Consider the following 16,355-nt stretch of genomic DNA (forward strand, 5'->3'; position numbering starts at 1 on the left):
CTGGAGCAGGCAGATGGGAGAGTGAGGATGAGTAAGATGTGGGCTGGAAACCGAGGTGGACACACCTGTCAGCCACTCACTCACTCTGTGGCACTCTTCACTCAGCCTCCTAGTGTGCAGTGGGGATAGGGAACTGTGCTCACACTGTGTGAGGGATGCTCAGAAGAAGGTGCTCTGGAGTCCTTAAACCAAATCCTAACGCCTCTGTCACCAATGATGAGGACCAGACACAGAGCTGTTGAGCTCCAAACCTTATCAGCCCATGAGTCCACAGGGACTGTGTGTCATTGCCTTGACATGGTCTTCCCAACCTGTCCTGCTTCTTCCACTTATTCAGCCATAAATGAATGTTTCGTCATGTATTTATTAAGGTATAGGTCATAAATACCTTAATAAATACCTGCACCCTATGTAGTGCAGTAGCAGCTGGAGGCTCAGCGAGCAAAGAAAGGTCCCTGCCTTCACAACCTTCCGCTTCCTGCAAAGAGGATGATGGCTGGTGTGGGAGCTGGTATGGAGGCACCAAGGCTTGACGGAGTGGTGGCTCCACTGGTCCTCTCCAAAGGGGAGAAACAAGGCCACCGCTGCTGCTGCTCTGCAGGGGTTGGCATGGGAGAGGAGGAGCAGGGCAGCTGCTTCCGCATAGGGCAGAGGTGCTCGTCATCTGCTTGCTGTGTTCTGCAGAGACCTGGGGCTGTACCTCAAGGCACAGGATAGCAGAAGGCTCCTAATGTAGAGCCACTTACATGAATTTCAAAGTGTGGTTTAAAAAAATTTCTACAAATTCTTTAATACTCCCCACCTTAAAGAGTTGGAGCATAATCTCCTCTTGAATGTGGGCCAGACTTAGTGACTTGCTTCTAATAAACAGAATAAACAAGTGATCACATGAGACTTGGGAGATGAGGTCATAAAAGGCCCGGAAGCTTCCTCCTTGCTTGCTTTCTTTTGGATCTCTCACTCTCCTGAAGCTCCCTCCAGGACAGTCAGGAGGCCCATGTGGTGAGCTGCTGAGGCCTCCTGCTGACACCATGTGTGTGAGTCAGTTTGGCACGCTCCTCCAGCCCTGGTCAGGCCTTCGAATTATGCAGCCAGGGCCGAGGTCCTTACTGTACCAGAACCACTGACTCAACTGCTTCCCAATTCCTCACCCACAGAAACTGTGACAAAAATGTTGTCACAGTTTGCAATAATTTGTTAAGTTTGGGGTAATTTCTTATCCAGCAATAAATGATCAATAATTAGTGGAGTGAAAATAACAAAATAAAGCAAAATTCAGTAATTCCAAATCTGGCCGGGCATGGTGGCTCATGCCTGTAATCCCAGCACTTTGGGAGGCCAAGGCGGGCAGATCACCTGAGTCCAGGAGTTTGAGACCAGCCTGGCCAACACGATCAAATCCCGTCTCTACTAAAAATACAAAAATTAGCTGGGCATGGTGGTGTGTGTCTGTGGTCCCAGCTACTTGGGAGGCTGAGACAGGAGAATCACTTCAATCTGGGAGGCAGAGGTTGCAGTGAGCCAAGATCGTGCCACTGCACTCCAGCCTGGGTGACAGAGCGAGACTCCGTCTGAAAAAACACACACACACACACACACACACACACACACACACACCCCAAATCCAAAACTTACTGCCATGAACTGGAAGGGACTGGCAAAATACCCACAATTCATTTTTAAAGTAAAGTTTTAGACTAGAAATTTAACATATATGCAGAAAAGTGTCTAATATACATTCAGAAAAGTATACAACTTATACATGGATAGCAACTTTATAAAAGGACAAATTTAAATATCTGCTCTTTTTCCTTTTGAAGAGTGATCTAATTATTAGGACTTGGAATCTGAACCACAGACATCTGCCGAATCACCGTGTCTGGGATGCATCAATTCTTTCCTATACCCATGTTCTAAGACAAGGAACTTGAACCTAACCACGGATTCCTTTGGGAGTCCACTGAGGGCTTTCTGACTGATAAGTGTCTGGCTTGTAGGCAGGAATGATACTGAGAAATAGTAAGACCTAAACTAATTACAATAAAATTTAAATAATAAAATTCTCAAATGACCAAATAAATTCATTTTACTCTATGTGTTACTCTGTGTTTACTCAGATGTGTTCTAACACGAATGAACAGGATACTGACCCAGAGCTGGGCTTTGAGAGCCTGCACCCCTTGTTGTGGAGGCCGCACCCTCTGCCCTACCTGTTTGATCAGCAGCCGCTTCTTCTCTTCATTCTGCTCATCCCTGGTTTGCAGGTCTCTCTCGAACTGCGCCTTCATGGCCTGCATGTTGACCTCCAGACGAAGCTTGGCATCTTCCGTGGCCTGGAGTTCGTCTTCCAGCTCCTCCAGCTGGGTCCTCATTTCCTCCACCTGCTGCTCTAGGGCCCGTTTGGATTTTTCAAGTTCGTGAACCTAAACCACCGAAGCATCAGGAAAGAGTTGACCGGGGTGGAGGCACATATGAAGAACAGCAGTCTTACTGTTTTACAGGCCCACTCGTGGCATGCTGGCCACTTTGGTCCCCCTGGGCCGGCCCCCTGCCACATGCATACACATCCTTCCCTCTCCCCTGAAAGCTGCTGCTATTCTCCATTTCAGTGTATGCAGTTCAGAACTACAGTGCGGATGTCTTTATTCCCACGTGTTCTCTGGTCATCCTCCTCTGATGACCTTTAAGCTGAGAGCTCTTCAGTGAGCCAAAGAACAAAGGAAACAGCCATGTCAGGGAACCTGTCTGTTGACTGACTCCTTGCCTGCTGTCTGTGAGGAACAAGTACAACAGTACATCTCTTCTTGCTGTAGAGAAGATCATTCGTATTGAAAAGCACATGTGGAAACTGCTGATTATTAGGGTGGCTTGGGCCTAAGAAGCAGGGCACAGTACACAGGCCTTGATCTTTCTCTGGACAAAGATGCCCCCAGCACCATTTCCCTCATTCTCTGCGCCAAGCACTGTGCTGAGAGCTCCACCTCCTGTGCCCTTTGACCCTCACAGCAGCCTTTGGAGGGAGGCCTTGGTGCTGCTGTGCACCCCCTCTGGGGTCCAGGACCACTGCAGTTCTCACGGGGACAGGCGCGGGGAATCCTAGGACAGGAGGAAGGTCCATTTCTACAGTGTCTGGTGCTCAGTAGGCACAAAAGACCTGTTTGTGGGATCAACATGTGAGTGTTGATGCTACAGAAAACGAACATGAAATCAACTGTAGAGTTCTCTCTCCACATTTCACTGTGTAACCATGGCCACTTCTACTTTCAGTGGCCTCTTTTTGTCCATGGGGCTAGTCCCTGGGCGCCAAGTTGTAGGAGACCCAGCAGAAAGGTGGGACCACCTTCGCTGACTTATGATGTGGCCAGATGGCCCATAGCACATGAAAATGAGATCCTGCCTTTTTAGAGGACTTTGTGTGCTTTTCAAAGCAGATGCAGTAACTTCATGAAATTGGGCAAGTATAATGTCCATCTGGCAGATAAGGAAACTTAGGCTTCAAAAGCTTAAGTGGCTTCCCATGGTCAGAATGGAAGCCTGTGGAGGAGCCAGGGAACCTTGCCTTTGATACCAGGCCTGGGTTTGTTTTGCTATCTTCAACACGTCATACACTAAGGGAGAGACGTAGGGTAAATAAATATCATGGCAGCTCTTGTGGAAGATGTATGCAATGGAAAGAAAAACTGTGCCACAGAAGCTTCCAAGCTGTGGATAAGCCCCCAAAGCTACTGAAGCTCTCAAAGAAAACAGTGGGGCCTCCCTGGGAAGAACCAGGTCAGAGGGAGCTGCCATTCCCTCCTCCTCCTCTCCAGGTCCCCACTCACCTCATGTTTGATAACTACCTGTGACGGCAGAACCATGAAACCTTTTGTTGAAAGGCCCTCCTGCCAGGATGCAGGCTGGAGCAGGGAGGGCAGTGAAAGGACAAGAAGAAACATGTTCACCTCCAGCCAGTGCTGGGGGAAGACTGCAGAAAACCTCACAGCAGTCCCAGAAGACCTGAACCCCGTACGCATGCACAGGCCAAAACACTCCTAGATGGCTTTGCTGCTGGGCTGTGCATTCCCAGGTCCTTCAGGCTCCCCTGAGGAGTCGCCCGCTCCTGTGTGAAGGCCCAGGCCCCTGGGATACTCTCCCGTGCGGAAGTGTGGAGCCCACCAGGCGACTTACGTTTTTTCCCACATCATCTTTGGAGCTCATGAGGTCTTCCATGTCTGCTCGGAGCTGCTTGTTCTGCCTCTCAAACTCCTCCTTGGCCTCCAGGGCTTCCTCGAGGGCCCGGGCCAGTGACAGGGCTTTGGTTTCTTTCTCTCTGGCCTCGGCTTCGGCCCGGTCCCGCTCTTCGGCATAGCGAGCAGAGATGCTCTTCTCTTCTGCTAACAGCTGTGCAGAAGGGGATGGGGGAATACGAAAAACCGAAACAGTGACATCAACTTTTCTCTTCCACCATGTGGCTGATTTATCGCTAGAGTGCTGCCACTAGATTATGGTGTTCTTGTATTTCCTTTTTTTTTTTTTTTTTGCTTTCCCTTTTTCCAATTTTGATATAAACATGTATCACATTTAAATGCCTTTAAATAAGATTATTTTAAACCAAACGAACAAAAGCAAGAGCTCTGCCAGGAGGAAACGACACGTGGCCGACCCACCTGGTCAAACTTCTTCTGCTTCTTCTCCAAGTTGGAGGCGACCTGGCGCTGGTGGTCCAGGTCCACCGTGAGGTCGTCCAGCTCCTGCTGCAGGCGGTTCTTGGTCTTCTCCAGTTTGTCATACGCCAGTGCCTTCTCCTCCAGGCGCTGGCTCAGGGCCTCCGCGTCCTTCAGAAGCTTCTTCTTGGCTTCTTCCAGACTTTCAATTGTTCCCAGGTCGTCATCTACTTTCTTCTTGGTATCAGCCAACTAGGTTTTGTGTACGGACAAACAGAAAGCTCAGTATTAATGTACTCAATTGGGGCCAGGCATGGTGGCTCACGCCTGTAATCCCAGCACTTTGGGAGGCCGAGGCGGCAGGATCACTTGAGGTCAGGAGTTTGAGACCAGCCAGGCCAACATAGTGAAACCTCATCTCTACTAAAAATACAAAAATCGCCTGTCTGTAGTCTCGGCTACTGGGGAGGCTCAGGTGGGAGGATCACTTGAGCCCAGGAGGTGGAGGCTGCAGTGAGCTGAGATCACGCCACTGCACTCCAGCCTGGGCGACAAAGTGAGACTCTATCTCAAGGAAAAAAAAAAAAGAACTCAATTGGTTTTTGCCTTTGAAGAAAAAAAAAACCTTTTGTTTTTAATATTTTGAGAGAAGAAAAATCAATACTGTGATTTTAAAACAAATGAGTCTTAGACTGTCACTTAATTTCTTAGCTAATAGTCCATAAAATGATGACTGGATTGAAATCTTACATCGTTGACACAGTCCTAGGTCCTTATTTTAAGGGCTTCCAGCATTATAACCAGCATGTGGCTGGGTCAAGAAAAACCATTTAATGGGCTTAATTTAGTACGACCTAATTAACTGTCCCAAATGGAGCTGAGACAGCCCAGCACAGCAGGGCCAGGATCTGCTGAAGGCACACATCGAGGCCACCGCGGCCTCCTAAAGAGGACGCACACCTGGGACTGCAGGGCCAGCACTTGCTTCTCCAGGTTCTTCCTGGCCTCCTCCTCCTCCTCCTGCTGCTCCTGAAGACTGTTCTTCTCCTCTTCCAGCTGCCGGATCCGACTGCTCAGGTTTAGTTTCTGGCGTGTCTCCTCCTGAAGAAGCTCCTGTGTTTTTTTTTTAAAGGGCAACACTTCCATTACATTTATCACCAAAACAAATACACCTGTATTAAAGAATTCATGTCGTACAAAAGAGACAGCCTCAATGCATGAGAACGCCCAGTGACATTAACAAACACAGATGATTTAAAAACACACACGATAACTTTGTAAAAGCTCTTCACACCAACACTGCTTCAGACTCATCTCTGAAAAACGAATGGCGGCGCCATCCACCCAGGGGCCCAGGCTGGAGCCTCCAGGCATCCCCGAGGCCTCCCCTCCTGCGTCCCCCACCACACCCCGCCTCTCCTCAGTCACGCCTGGAATCCCTTCCTCTCCACCCCCTGCCCCGTCTTAGTTCAGGCCCTCAGCCCTTCGAACTAGGATCACCTCTCCCGTCTTAGGCATCCCTCAGTTATCGTCCTTTGTATTTCCTGCCAGATTGACTTCTAAAATGTAAGCACAAACATGTTTTTCCTGTTACTTTCAGACTGCAAAGTCTTCAGAGGCATTGGTTGTGTGGAGCAGAATTTCTGGGCCATGGCTTCGGCCTCCTCTAGTCTCACTCACCAGGCCGCACCTTGTCATGCATGGGGTGTGCTTTGGTAAAAATGAACTTGTCCCCAACTGCCTAATTATTCCACTTTTGGCCTGTCTGAGATTTTTTTTTTTAATCCCCAGCACCTAGCCTAAAGCCTGGCAAATAAACACTCATAAGTGTTTGTAAATTTAACAAAACTAAGCTGTAAAACTCCAAGAATAAAGTGCTACATTATTTTCAAGTAACCTGTAGCTGACTTAAAAACATCCCTAACGGATGATGCAATACAGGTCTTAACAGTCTGATAAGCCTCAACTCACCCTTTTACAAAATGGACTGTTTCTCACAGGTCAGCACGATGAAATTCCAACCATAAGGAAACAATCTTATTGGAAATGGCCAGCAAGACATTGTGTGCAGCAGGACCATAGCTTGGGTCAACCACAGCCCAGGCAGCGGCCGTGAATGGCAGCTGGAGCTGTCTCCGAGGCCACCCACGTGCCTGCCAGACACACGAACCCCAGGGGCTCTACATCAAGACACTGAGCTTCCAGGGAGAAATCCCGAGTAGCAAGGCTGGCTCCAAATAAAAGTATGACATAAAACTAGTAAGAGGTGACACAGAAGGCAATTCTGGGGCCAGCATATTTCACCAGCTTATATATTACAGAAATGTTAGTTATTATAAAGACCCCTTGCTCCCCAGGGAATACCTGTGTATCCTGTAGTTGAGACTCAAGACTAGCTGCATCCTTAGCAAATTTAATACCCTTCTTCTCTGCTTCTTCCAGAAGGGTGGAGACATTATCTAGCTCATTCTGTAAGGAGCAGAAGATTAAATTCAACTCAATAGTAAGCAAGCAGAAAGGGTCTAGAAACACAGCTTTTAAACAGAACACAGAGAAGAACTCGGCGGGAGTGTGAACCTGAAACTACCCATTCAGTTAAGGAAGACTCACCACCAAGAGTCTGTTGCCTTCAAACGGAGCTCAAATAAGTAGGTACTAGAACCTGCCTCCCTGGCCACCTTAATAGTCTCTACCCATGAAAAGGACAGGGGGCGGGGGGTCTCCTAACTGGTTTCCTACCTTCTTCTATTTTTATCATGAAGATACAAAAATTAAAGCAAAGCCTCTGAAAGAGTGACTGTATCCTCTGTGGGGAGGCTGAAGGCCAGCAGGTGCTTGATTTTGGTCCTTCACACGAATATGCGTTAACCATATGTTTTGGGAGGAAAGTATAATTCACATTCTTATAGAACTTGAAGCTTCTATAAAAGGGGTACAAGAAAGTTTTTTTTTTTTTTGAGATAGTCTCACCCTGTCGCCCTGGCTGGAGTGCAGTGGTGCAATCTGGGCTCACTGCAACCTTTGCCTCCTGGGTTCAAGCGATTCTCCTGCCTCAGCCTCCCGAGTGGCTGGGATTACAGGCGCTTGCTACCGCGCCCGTCTAATTTTTTGTATCTTTAGTAGAGACGGGGTTTCACCATGTTGGCCAGGCTGGTCTCGAACTCCTGACCTCCTGATCTGCCTGCCCCGGCCTCCCAAAGTGCTGGGATGACAGATGTGAGCCACCACACCCGGCTGGAAGTTCTTTTAGGTTTCAAAAAACTGGTATTATATGTTCATCATGAATATTTAAGCTATTTCTTATGGTCAGATTTAATTAATAATATTTTTTTCTTCGCAATTAATGATATTTCTAAAATATTTTCCAAACAAATCTTTGTGGTATAAGATGCTTTATAATTTTTGACGACAGTGGGTGCTGGGAAGACGCAGAGGGACGCAGAGGGGCAGCAGGGCGCCGTGCGTTCTCGCTAGTCCTCGTCACACCGGCCAAGGGAGAGTGGACGGTGGCACAGCCACAGCAGAGCACATGCTGTAACGCTTCCATGGTCACTCTGTTTAGCAACATCCTTCACAGAGCTCACACTTCATCAGTCTTGGGAACAGTGTGGTGGGGAAGGGCTCCAAAGTCAAGAGGGACTCCTGCCTTCAGCACCAGCTCTAGAAGTTGCCAGGTAAGTCACCAGAGCGGGCAAGAGCCTTAGCTTCTTTGAGCCTCAGGTTCCTCACCTACCAGAGGGGTTGACTGAGGTTTAAATGGGGAACAACGTACATGGGAGCCTAGCACATGCCTGGTGCAGCACAGGGGACAAGGAACTGTCACTCCCCTCCCTTCCCCGCCGTAGGCAGAGTTCATAATGCTGTTTCAGAGATTTTCTCTTTTAGGAATAGCTTTCCAGATTGTGTGTGAGAGCACGCACACAATATTTCAGTACCTACACGTTAACACAGCAGGCCGGGACCACCCTCCTTCGAAAGGCCTGCTTGCGATGTTGACCTTTGGCTGGTGTGTGGGAACTTGAATTTAGCAAGAGTTCCCACTATTTCCTGAACAATAAGGGTGGCTTTTCTCTAAACTGTCCATGTAAACAATATGGTCTATGTTGAACACCTACGTTTCTTCTGGGAGTCTGCAATTTGGGTTTATGCTAGGCAAGAGGTGCCTATGTAACCAGCCCCTAATAAAAACCCTGGGGGCCGAGTCTGTAATGGGCTTCTTGGAAGAAAACATTTCACGCATGCTGTCAGGACTCACTGCTGGAGGAATTAAGCACGTGCTGTGTGACTCCGCTGGGAGAGGACTCCTGGAAGCTTGTTCCTGGTTTCCTCAGCACCTCAGCCCTCGTGCCCTTTCCTTTTACTGATTTTGCTTTGTATCTTTTCACTGTAATAAATCTTTGCCATGAGCAGGCCTCTGTGCTGAGTCCTAGAGTCCTGGAGAATCATGTACTGTAGTGTGGTCTTGGGCCTCGGACACAAGACAGCTCTGTAATTCTTTTTCAATGTGGCAATATAGGATGTACATCTTTTCTTACCAATAAGGACTCATCGACTATATTGTTTTTGCTGGTTGCATAGAAGTCCGTATTAAACATTAAAGTTATTTCCAACCACAGTCAGCCCTTCCTATCCATAGGTTCCATCTGTGGATTCAACCAACCATGTATTAAAAATATTCAGAAAAGGGCCGGGCGCGGTGGCTCATGCCTGTAATCCCAGCACTTTGGGAGGCTGAGGCAGGCAGATCACGAGGTCAGGAGATCGAGACCATCCTGGCTAACACAGTGAAACCCCATCTCTACTAGAAATGCAAAAAATTAGCCAGGCATGGTGGCGGGTGCCTGTAGTCCCAGCTACCCAGGAGGCTGAGGCAGGAGAATTGTGTGAACCCGGGAGGCAGAGCTTGCAGTGAGCCGAGATTGCGCCACTGCACTCCAGCCTGGCCGACAGAGCGAGACTCTGTCTCAAAAAAAAAAAAAAAAAAAAAAAAAAAAATCAGAAAAAAACCCCTGCATGTGCACTGACCATGTACAGTTCATGACTTTTTTGGGTTATTTCCTAAAAACATGACTTTTTTGAGTCGTTATTTCCTAAAACATACAGTGTAACAACTTTTTACATAGCAGTTACATCGTCTTAGGTATTATAAGTAATCTAGAGATGATTTATAGTATATGGGAGGATGTGCATATATGCAAATACTATGCCTTTTTTTTTTTTTTTTTTTGAGACAGAGTCTTGTTCTGTAGTCCAGGCTGGAGTGCAGTGGCGTGATCTCGGCTCACTGCAATCTCCACCTCCCTGGATTCAAGCGATTCTCCTGCCTCAGCCTCCTGAGTAGCTGGGATTACAGGTGTGCACCACCACACCTGGCCAATTTTTTTGTATTTTTTAGAAGAGACAGGGTTTCGCCATGTTGGCCAGGCTGGTCTCAAACTCCTGACCTCAGGTGATCCGCCCACCTCAGCCTCCCATAGTGCTGGGATTATAGGTGTGAGCTACCACGCCCGGCCCCATACTATACCATTTTTATTAGGGACTCCAGCATCAGAAGATTTTGGTATCTGCAGGAGGTCCTGGATGTAATCCCCCAGTGGATACTGAGGGCTGACTGTATATACTTTTGTACACACTTCTGCAATGAACATTCTTGAAGTTGACTCTGTGTGTACATCCTTAGTTAATTCCCTAGGATAAATGACTAGACATGGATTTTTCGGGTCTAAGGATACTCACAGTTTTAAGGCTCGTGATCTAAGACTGCCAAACTGTCCTTTAGAAGAGGTTGCACTAGGCTGTGCACAGTAGCTCAGGCCTGTAATCCCAGCACTTTGGGAGGCTGAGGGGGGCGGATCACGAGGTCAGGAGATTGAGACCATCCTGGCTAACGTGGTGAAACCCCGTCTCTACTAAAAAATTCAAAAAATTAGCCGGACATGGTGGCGGGTGCCTGTAGTCCCAGCTACTCGGGAGACTGAGGCAGGAGAATAGTGTGAACCCGGGAGACAGAGGGTGCAGTGAGCAGAGATTGCGCCACTGCACTCCAGCCTGGGCAACAGAGCGAGACTCTGTCTCAAACAAAAACAAAAACAAAAAAAAAGGTTGCACTAATTTATACCAGCAGTGTAAAAAATAAAACTCTCGTAAATCTTTGCCAATGTGAAGTATAATTTTTTTGGCCCATTGTTCCTATTCTCTTATTTACTGGACTAATGGAGAAGCTGAAGTGCTTAAAACTGTTAAGCAACTATAAACACAATTCAGAGTGGAACTGATCAAGTCCAATCATGCTGTGTTCTTCTTAAAATAAATATTATTTAACTTCATCAAAGTAATAGACACTAGGGACACCTAAGACTCGATGTATTTACTGGATAGCAATTTTCAGGTGTCGCACAGCACATTGGCCATGGGTCTCTTATTGCACAGAGGGATACAATGGTAAATTAGGGACATGCTACAGTGGGACGTGTGTAGAGCGGAGGTTTCTGGCTTACCTGCAGCTTACTTGCTTTCTCCGCCAGCTCCACCCTGAGCCTGTCGCCTTCAGAGACCTTGGCATGGAGCTCCTGGACCTGCGCGTCGAGCTTCTTCCTCTTGTGCTCAGACTCAGCCTTGACCTGCTGCAGGACCTTCACCTCACACGCCAGCTCCTTGTTATCTGTCTCCAGGCCCTGCTTGTTCTTCTCTAGATTTGCTTTGAACTAGGAGACGGAAGGGAAAACATAATTCACTAGTTATTTTCTAAAACTCCATACAGAGGACTGCTTTTTGAGTCTGCAGAATTGTGCCTAACACACAGTGAGTCTGTAGTCAACATCTGTTGAATGAATGAATGAAAATGTTTGCTGTTCTCTGAGTGTGAGGATTTCTACGTAAGGAACACACGCGTACACACTGCTCCGAGGAGCAGATGCAGATATTTAGGGGCTCACTGTGCTAAGTAATTAGCCTTGTCCATGCCAGGTGTGTCCTGTCTGCAGAGTCATCACTCACACTGTCCTCTGTATAAAAAAGTGTTGTTAGTGTAAAGAATTGTTTTACACTTACTAACATGAGCAGGCACCCTTGGTGCAGGGGTGGCCACAACAGGATGTATCTCCAATGACATCCTGCCTCAGGGACAAGATTGGGTGTAGTAAGGTGGTCACATGGGAATCTGGGCCAGACTGTCTGGCTTCAAGCTGCCTTTCCACGAACCAGCTGTGTGACCCTGGCTTAATTACCTAACACCACTGGACCTCAGTTTCCTTGTCTTTTAAATGGGAATTATAGGAGACTGTGCCACAGGGTTGTAGCAAAGATTAAGGAAGGCAACTCGTGTAGGGTACTTAGCACAGTACTTGACACAAACATAAATGTTCCGTAAATGCTAATATTGTCATTGTCTAAATTAAAAGGTGGCATGTGGCTAGGCAAAGAACAGAAAGATGGAGAAACTGGAGCAAGAACCAAGTCACAAAGGCAAGGATGATTATGGGAAGTCATGGAGGCCAGTCTGCACAGGAGGGTGGCGTGAGTCACAGGGCACATGAAATTAAGTTTCAGGAGAACGGAAAGCCTGTGTCTGAGATACAGAAGCGGGAACAATGAATGAAAGCCAACACTGTGTTTGGTGGCTGAGGTGAGATCACAGGCAGGGAAGGACAAGAAGGGAGAGATGAATGTCAGGAACCCCTGAAGGGGAACATCGGCAGGACGTGTGACTTACTGGCAGCAGACAAGTTAGGGAAGAATGACTTTCAAACCATTCGGGGTTTTGAGTGAAGCCACTGGGAGAAGGGTTTAGTGAGAAGAGACACTGGGGAGGACTGTGTGGTTTGAGATGGTGGCTGGATCCATGCACTTGCATCTGGCTTTTCTTCCTAAGGAGACAGTGTGTTTTCTGAAAGCCGCTCCTGTCTTGGCAACTGGGTACCCAGCAGCCCACTCAGTGACGTACAGAGGCTGGAGCCTAATCAATACATGACTGAACAGAACGGGCAGATAGGATGGGAGTGGCTCTGACGACAGACTTTCTCCAGGCCACAGCACACGGCAGGGCCTCCCTTACCCGCTTGGCCTGTTCCAGCTGCTCTGAGAGCTCCTCCAGGGCTGTTGCGTGTCTTTGTCTCATGTCCTGGATTTGAGCTTCATGGTTCTTAGTTTCCTCCTCAAGAGCTTTCTTCAGCTCTGCCACTTCTTGTTCACGTTTTGTACTAGAGAAGGACATTTTTTAAGAGAGATCAGAATTAGCTGACTGATTAAAAACACATTTTCTTTTTGAAAAAGTACTGTTTTTGTTTTAAATATTACATAAATTCCCTTAATAAATACTTGATGTGCTATTTCCAGTAGGCTGGCAGGTCTATTACTGTGATATCAGAAATCCTCCTAGAGAGCTGAGTAGTGGTTCATGCCTATAACCCCGGCAATTTGGGAGGCTAAGGTGGATCGCTTGAGCCTGGGAGGTTGAGGCTACAATGAGCTATGATTGCGCCACTGCACGCCAGCCTGGGCGAGTGAGACCCTATCTTTAAAAAAAAACCAAAAAAACAAACAACCAGTGCAACTTCCATGCCATGTCTGGCTTATCAAGACACAGGGTGACATCCCTAGGGGTCTTCAAATTGTTCTGGGTAGTCTGGTTTCACCGGAGGTCAGGAATTGGTTAACACAAGATGCCAAACTGCCTGCCATAGCCCCAACAGACTTGAATAAAACTGGAAAAAGGGAGTCTCCCAGAGATTTTCAAAAGTGAAGGGGTGACAAAGGCCAAATGAATCAGGACGTTGCAGTGTAACAAAGCAAGACTCTTAGCGTCCATGTGAAGAAGCCGCAATTAACTAACATCCTCCCAAAATTCTACCAGGAAATGGCTTAAGGTTGGGGAGGAGGGCATTATCTTTTGGAGGGGCAGGAAAATTAAAAGGCAGCTCAAAGGGTTCAGAAAGGGTCTCTGATGTTTGATATGAGAACACAGCAGGTCTATGGCCAGAGAATTGGAATGTTCTGACATAAACTGTGGTTTTATCTAACCTGCACTTTACGGTATGAAGATCACATTAGCATTAAATATCTTTCCATGGCTTTCTAATATTTTTAAAATTGGCTGTAACAAATACAGGGTAACTTGAATAACCAGAGTTATTCACTGTCTAAAAGAGATCTTACTTCTCATGGCGAGTCCCTCTAAATTTGTTAATCTGAGCACCGTGTTTAAGCACGAGCTTGATGAAGACTGAAGCCAGTCAGGTAAACAGCACTCCTGCTAAGACCTATATTAGCACTGTTGAATTAGCTACAACCTCACACTAATCCTGAAGCACACTGCTAGCAAACTTGCTCTATACTTTATAACATGTCACAACTTAGAACAGTGATTTACACACTGATTCCCGTGTGGACACATCATCCCTCTCTTCACCTCTCTTTTCCTCTCTTCTCATGGAGTCACGAGATCTGCAGGGGCTGGCTGAGAGATCCCTGTGCCAAGAGAACAGGGCCTGGTGGCTGCCAGCTCCATGGTCGCATGTAGCCCAGCCAGAAGGAATCACTAAGGATTCTTTGTGGTCCAGCCTAGCTCAGCCCCAAGTTCCACTGGCTCAGCCAGAGGTCAAAGACGTGCTGGTCTGGTCCTGTCCTCTGCAAGGCTCCCATCGAGATTGTTTCAGCTCACTACAGGGAAATCTCTCCTACTAGCAGCACGTTGTCTTTTGGGAAAATAGTTGTGTGTGTGTGTGTGTGTGTGTGTTCCTCATCCCTACTTAAATCCAGTGGTCAAAGGAAACCTTCATCTTCTCTTCTCCAGGCTGAACAACCCCATTTCTTTCAGTTTTTCATCAAAAGTCCTTAAGAGAGTGAAAATGCCAGTGAGTCTGCAGAAGACTCACTGTTACTTTATACTAATCATGGGAAGAACCAGGGCCCAGGTGGGGTGGTTTGTGTTCTCTAAGGGTCCTTAGCAAGAATGGAGGACATGTCTGAGCTGCAGGCAAAACGGAATCAGTGAGTGCTACAGCTGAGCACAGGCATGGTTTTAATAAATATGCGCATTTAGTTTTTTGCAAGGGTTGGATGGAAAAATGATCAGAACCTTATTTTCTATTGCAGTCAAAAGCCCAGCTGGGAGTGGAGAGTTCAGCCAAGTCTAGTTCAGTGGTTTCTAGATTTTAAAAAAGCAGATATGTCAAAGAGAAGCCCAGGACTTAAACTACTAAAAGCAGTTACTCTGCTGAAGTGGGGTAAGGGCTGGGCGCGGTGGCTCACGCCTGTAATCCCAGCACTTTGGGAGGCCAAGGCGGGCGGATCACCTGAGGTCGGGAGTTTGCGACCAGCCTGACTAACATGGAGAAACCCCATCTCTACCAAAAAATACAAAATTAGCCGGGCGTGGTGGCACATGCCTGTAATCCCAGCTACTCGGGAGGCTGAGGCAGGAAAATCGTTTGAACCCGGGAGGCGGAGGTTGCAGTGAGCCGAGATCGCACCATCGTGCTCCGGCCTGGGCAACAAGAGCGAAACTCCGTCTCAAAAAAATATAAAATAAAAAATAAAATAAAATAAAAAAGTGGGGTAGGAAGCCTCGAACCATGCCTGGCTCAGATGGGGTTTTTCCTCTCTCTGGGTAAAAGCTGAAGACAAAAACCAACCAACCTCTGTCCGGCTGCCATAGCTGTACATATTCATGGCTAGGATCATGGCAAACATTCCAAGGCTCACCCCTCTGTTCTCCAGCACGGAGAGCCTCCCCACACCCACCATCTGACCTCAGTCTCACTGCTCTATCGAGCCGGCCTGCCCTGTGGACACCATGATGTCATTCTTTCCACGACCAAGTGCCCAGGTTTCCAGCTGCTGGGTGGACCCAGCTGATGACATCCTTGTCCTCTGGGGAAACGCACTGGTTTTCACCACAACCTGTTTCCCTCCTGGTTGCTCTGGGTCATTTTCTGCCTCTCTGGCCACACTTGCATTCATAAACAATTCCCTCTCTCCTTCTTGCTTTATTCCAGGCCTCAGCAACTCCCCAGGGTGATGGGCTATCCTTTCCATCATTCATACCCTGGAAGAGCCAGCAGGTGTGCCTGCAGCCAGCCAAGGCACGAGGGTTCCCTTCTGGCTAGGACTCCTGGGGTGGCCCTGAGGCACTTGGCAGTGTGAGTCTGGGAGGGAGCAGATGGCCTCTGCCAGGACAGCAAGCTGGCACACCCCCCATGCTGCTCTCCACAGTGATGACACCTATGAGTCCGTGGGAGCCGCAGGCCAGCACCTCCAGGCCTGCGTACCGGCTCACTGCTAAGGCTCTCCTGCGACTCGTGGGCTGCCACACTGCAGCTTTCTACCCAGGAGCCTTCTCTGGCCATGTTCACCTATGCTCGTCACTTTTTTCATGCCCGCCCTGGCTGCTGGCTCATGATGCTGCATATGCCTCTGCCCACTGCACACTCTGTCCCAGTGCGTGCACCAGCCTTCTTCTCACCCTTGTGAAGGCACCCTTCCCTTTTCAGCTGGTTACCTACACCGTTCACACCACCTAGCACTGCCAGCATGTGTGCCTGGCCTCCTGGGTATCTCCTCCTATTCCTGTGTTTACCCTTCTCCCTCTGGTCCTATCTATCTAAATCTCTTTTCACTGCCCCCTGCTCTGTGTAGTTGTCACTCTCTCCCCCTAGATATCCATCACTGACCACAGCTTTTCCGATCACATCCATCTCCCTCTGTGTCCCTCAG

The 16,355-nt window shown here is 48.0% G+C and overlaps 1 protein-coding gene across 4 annotated transcripts in view, besides 1 other annotated feature; it reads right to left on the reverse strand.

Moving 5' to 3' along the window:
* The window catches only part of MYH10 (myosin heavy chain 10), a 156,514-nt gene that overhangs the window by 13,918 nt on the left and 126,241 nt on the right, over positions 1–16,355 (reverse strand). For all 4 annotated transcript variants that reach the window (NM_001375266.1, NM_005964.5, NM_001256095.2 and 1 more), the window contains 7 exons: positions 12,697–12,841; positions 11,141–11,347; positions 7,008–7,112; positions 5,604–5,756; positions 4,647–4,895; positions 4,168–4,380; positions 2,211–2,423 (listed from right to left, as the gene is read on the reverse strand). In NM_001375266.1, the coding sequence (NP_001362195.1) occupies positions 2,211–2,423; positions 4,168–4,380; positions 4,647–4,895; positions 5,604–5,756; positions 7,008–7,112; positions 11,141–11,347; positions 12,697–12,841 (1,285 nt within the window). The remainder of the gene's footprint in view (positions 1–2,210; positions 2,424–4,167; positions 4,381–4,646; positions 4,896–5,603; positions 5,757–7,007; positions 7,113–11,140; positions 11,348–12,696; positions 12,842–16,355) is intronic.
* Positions 302–596: a silencer, noted in NCBI's record as "tiled region #1803; K562 Repressive non-DNase unmatched - State 17:Gen3'". NCBI's record gives its function as "represses a minimal TATA promoter and a strong SV40 promoter by Sharpr-MPRA in K562 cells {active_cell/tissue: K562}" and the evidence as "EXISTENCE:reporter gene assay evidence [ECO:0000049][PMID:27701403]".

Source organism: Homo sapiens, chromosome 17 (assembly GCF_000001405.40).
Source record: "Homo sapiens chromosome 17, GRCh38.p14 Primary Assembly".
NCBI classification, from domain to species: domain Eukaryota; kingdom Metazoa; phylum Chordata; class Mammalia; order Primates; family Hominidae; genus Homo; species Homo sapiens.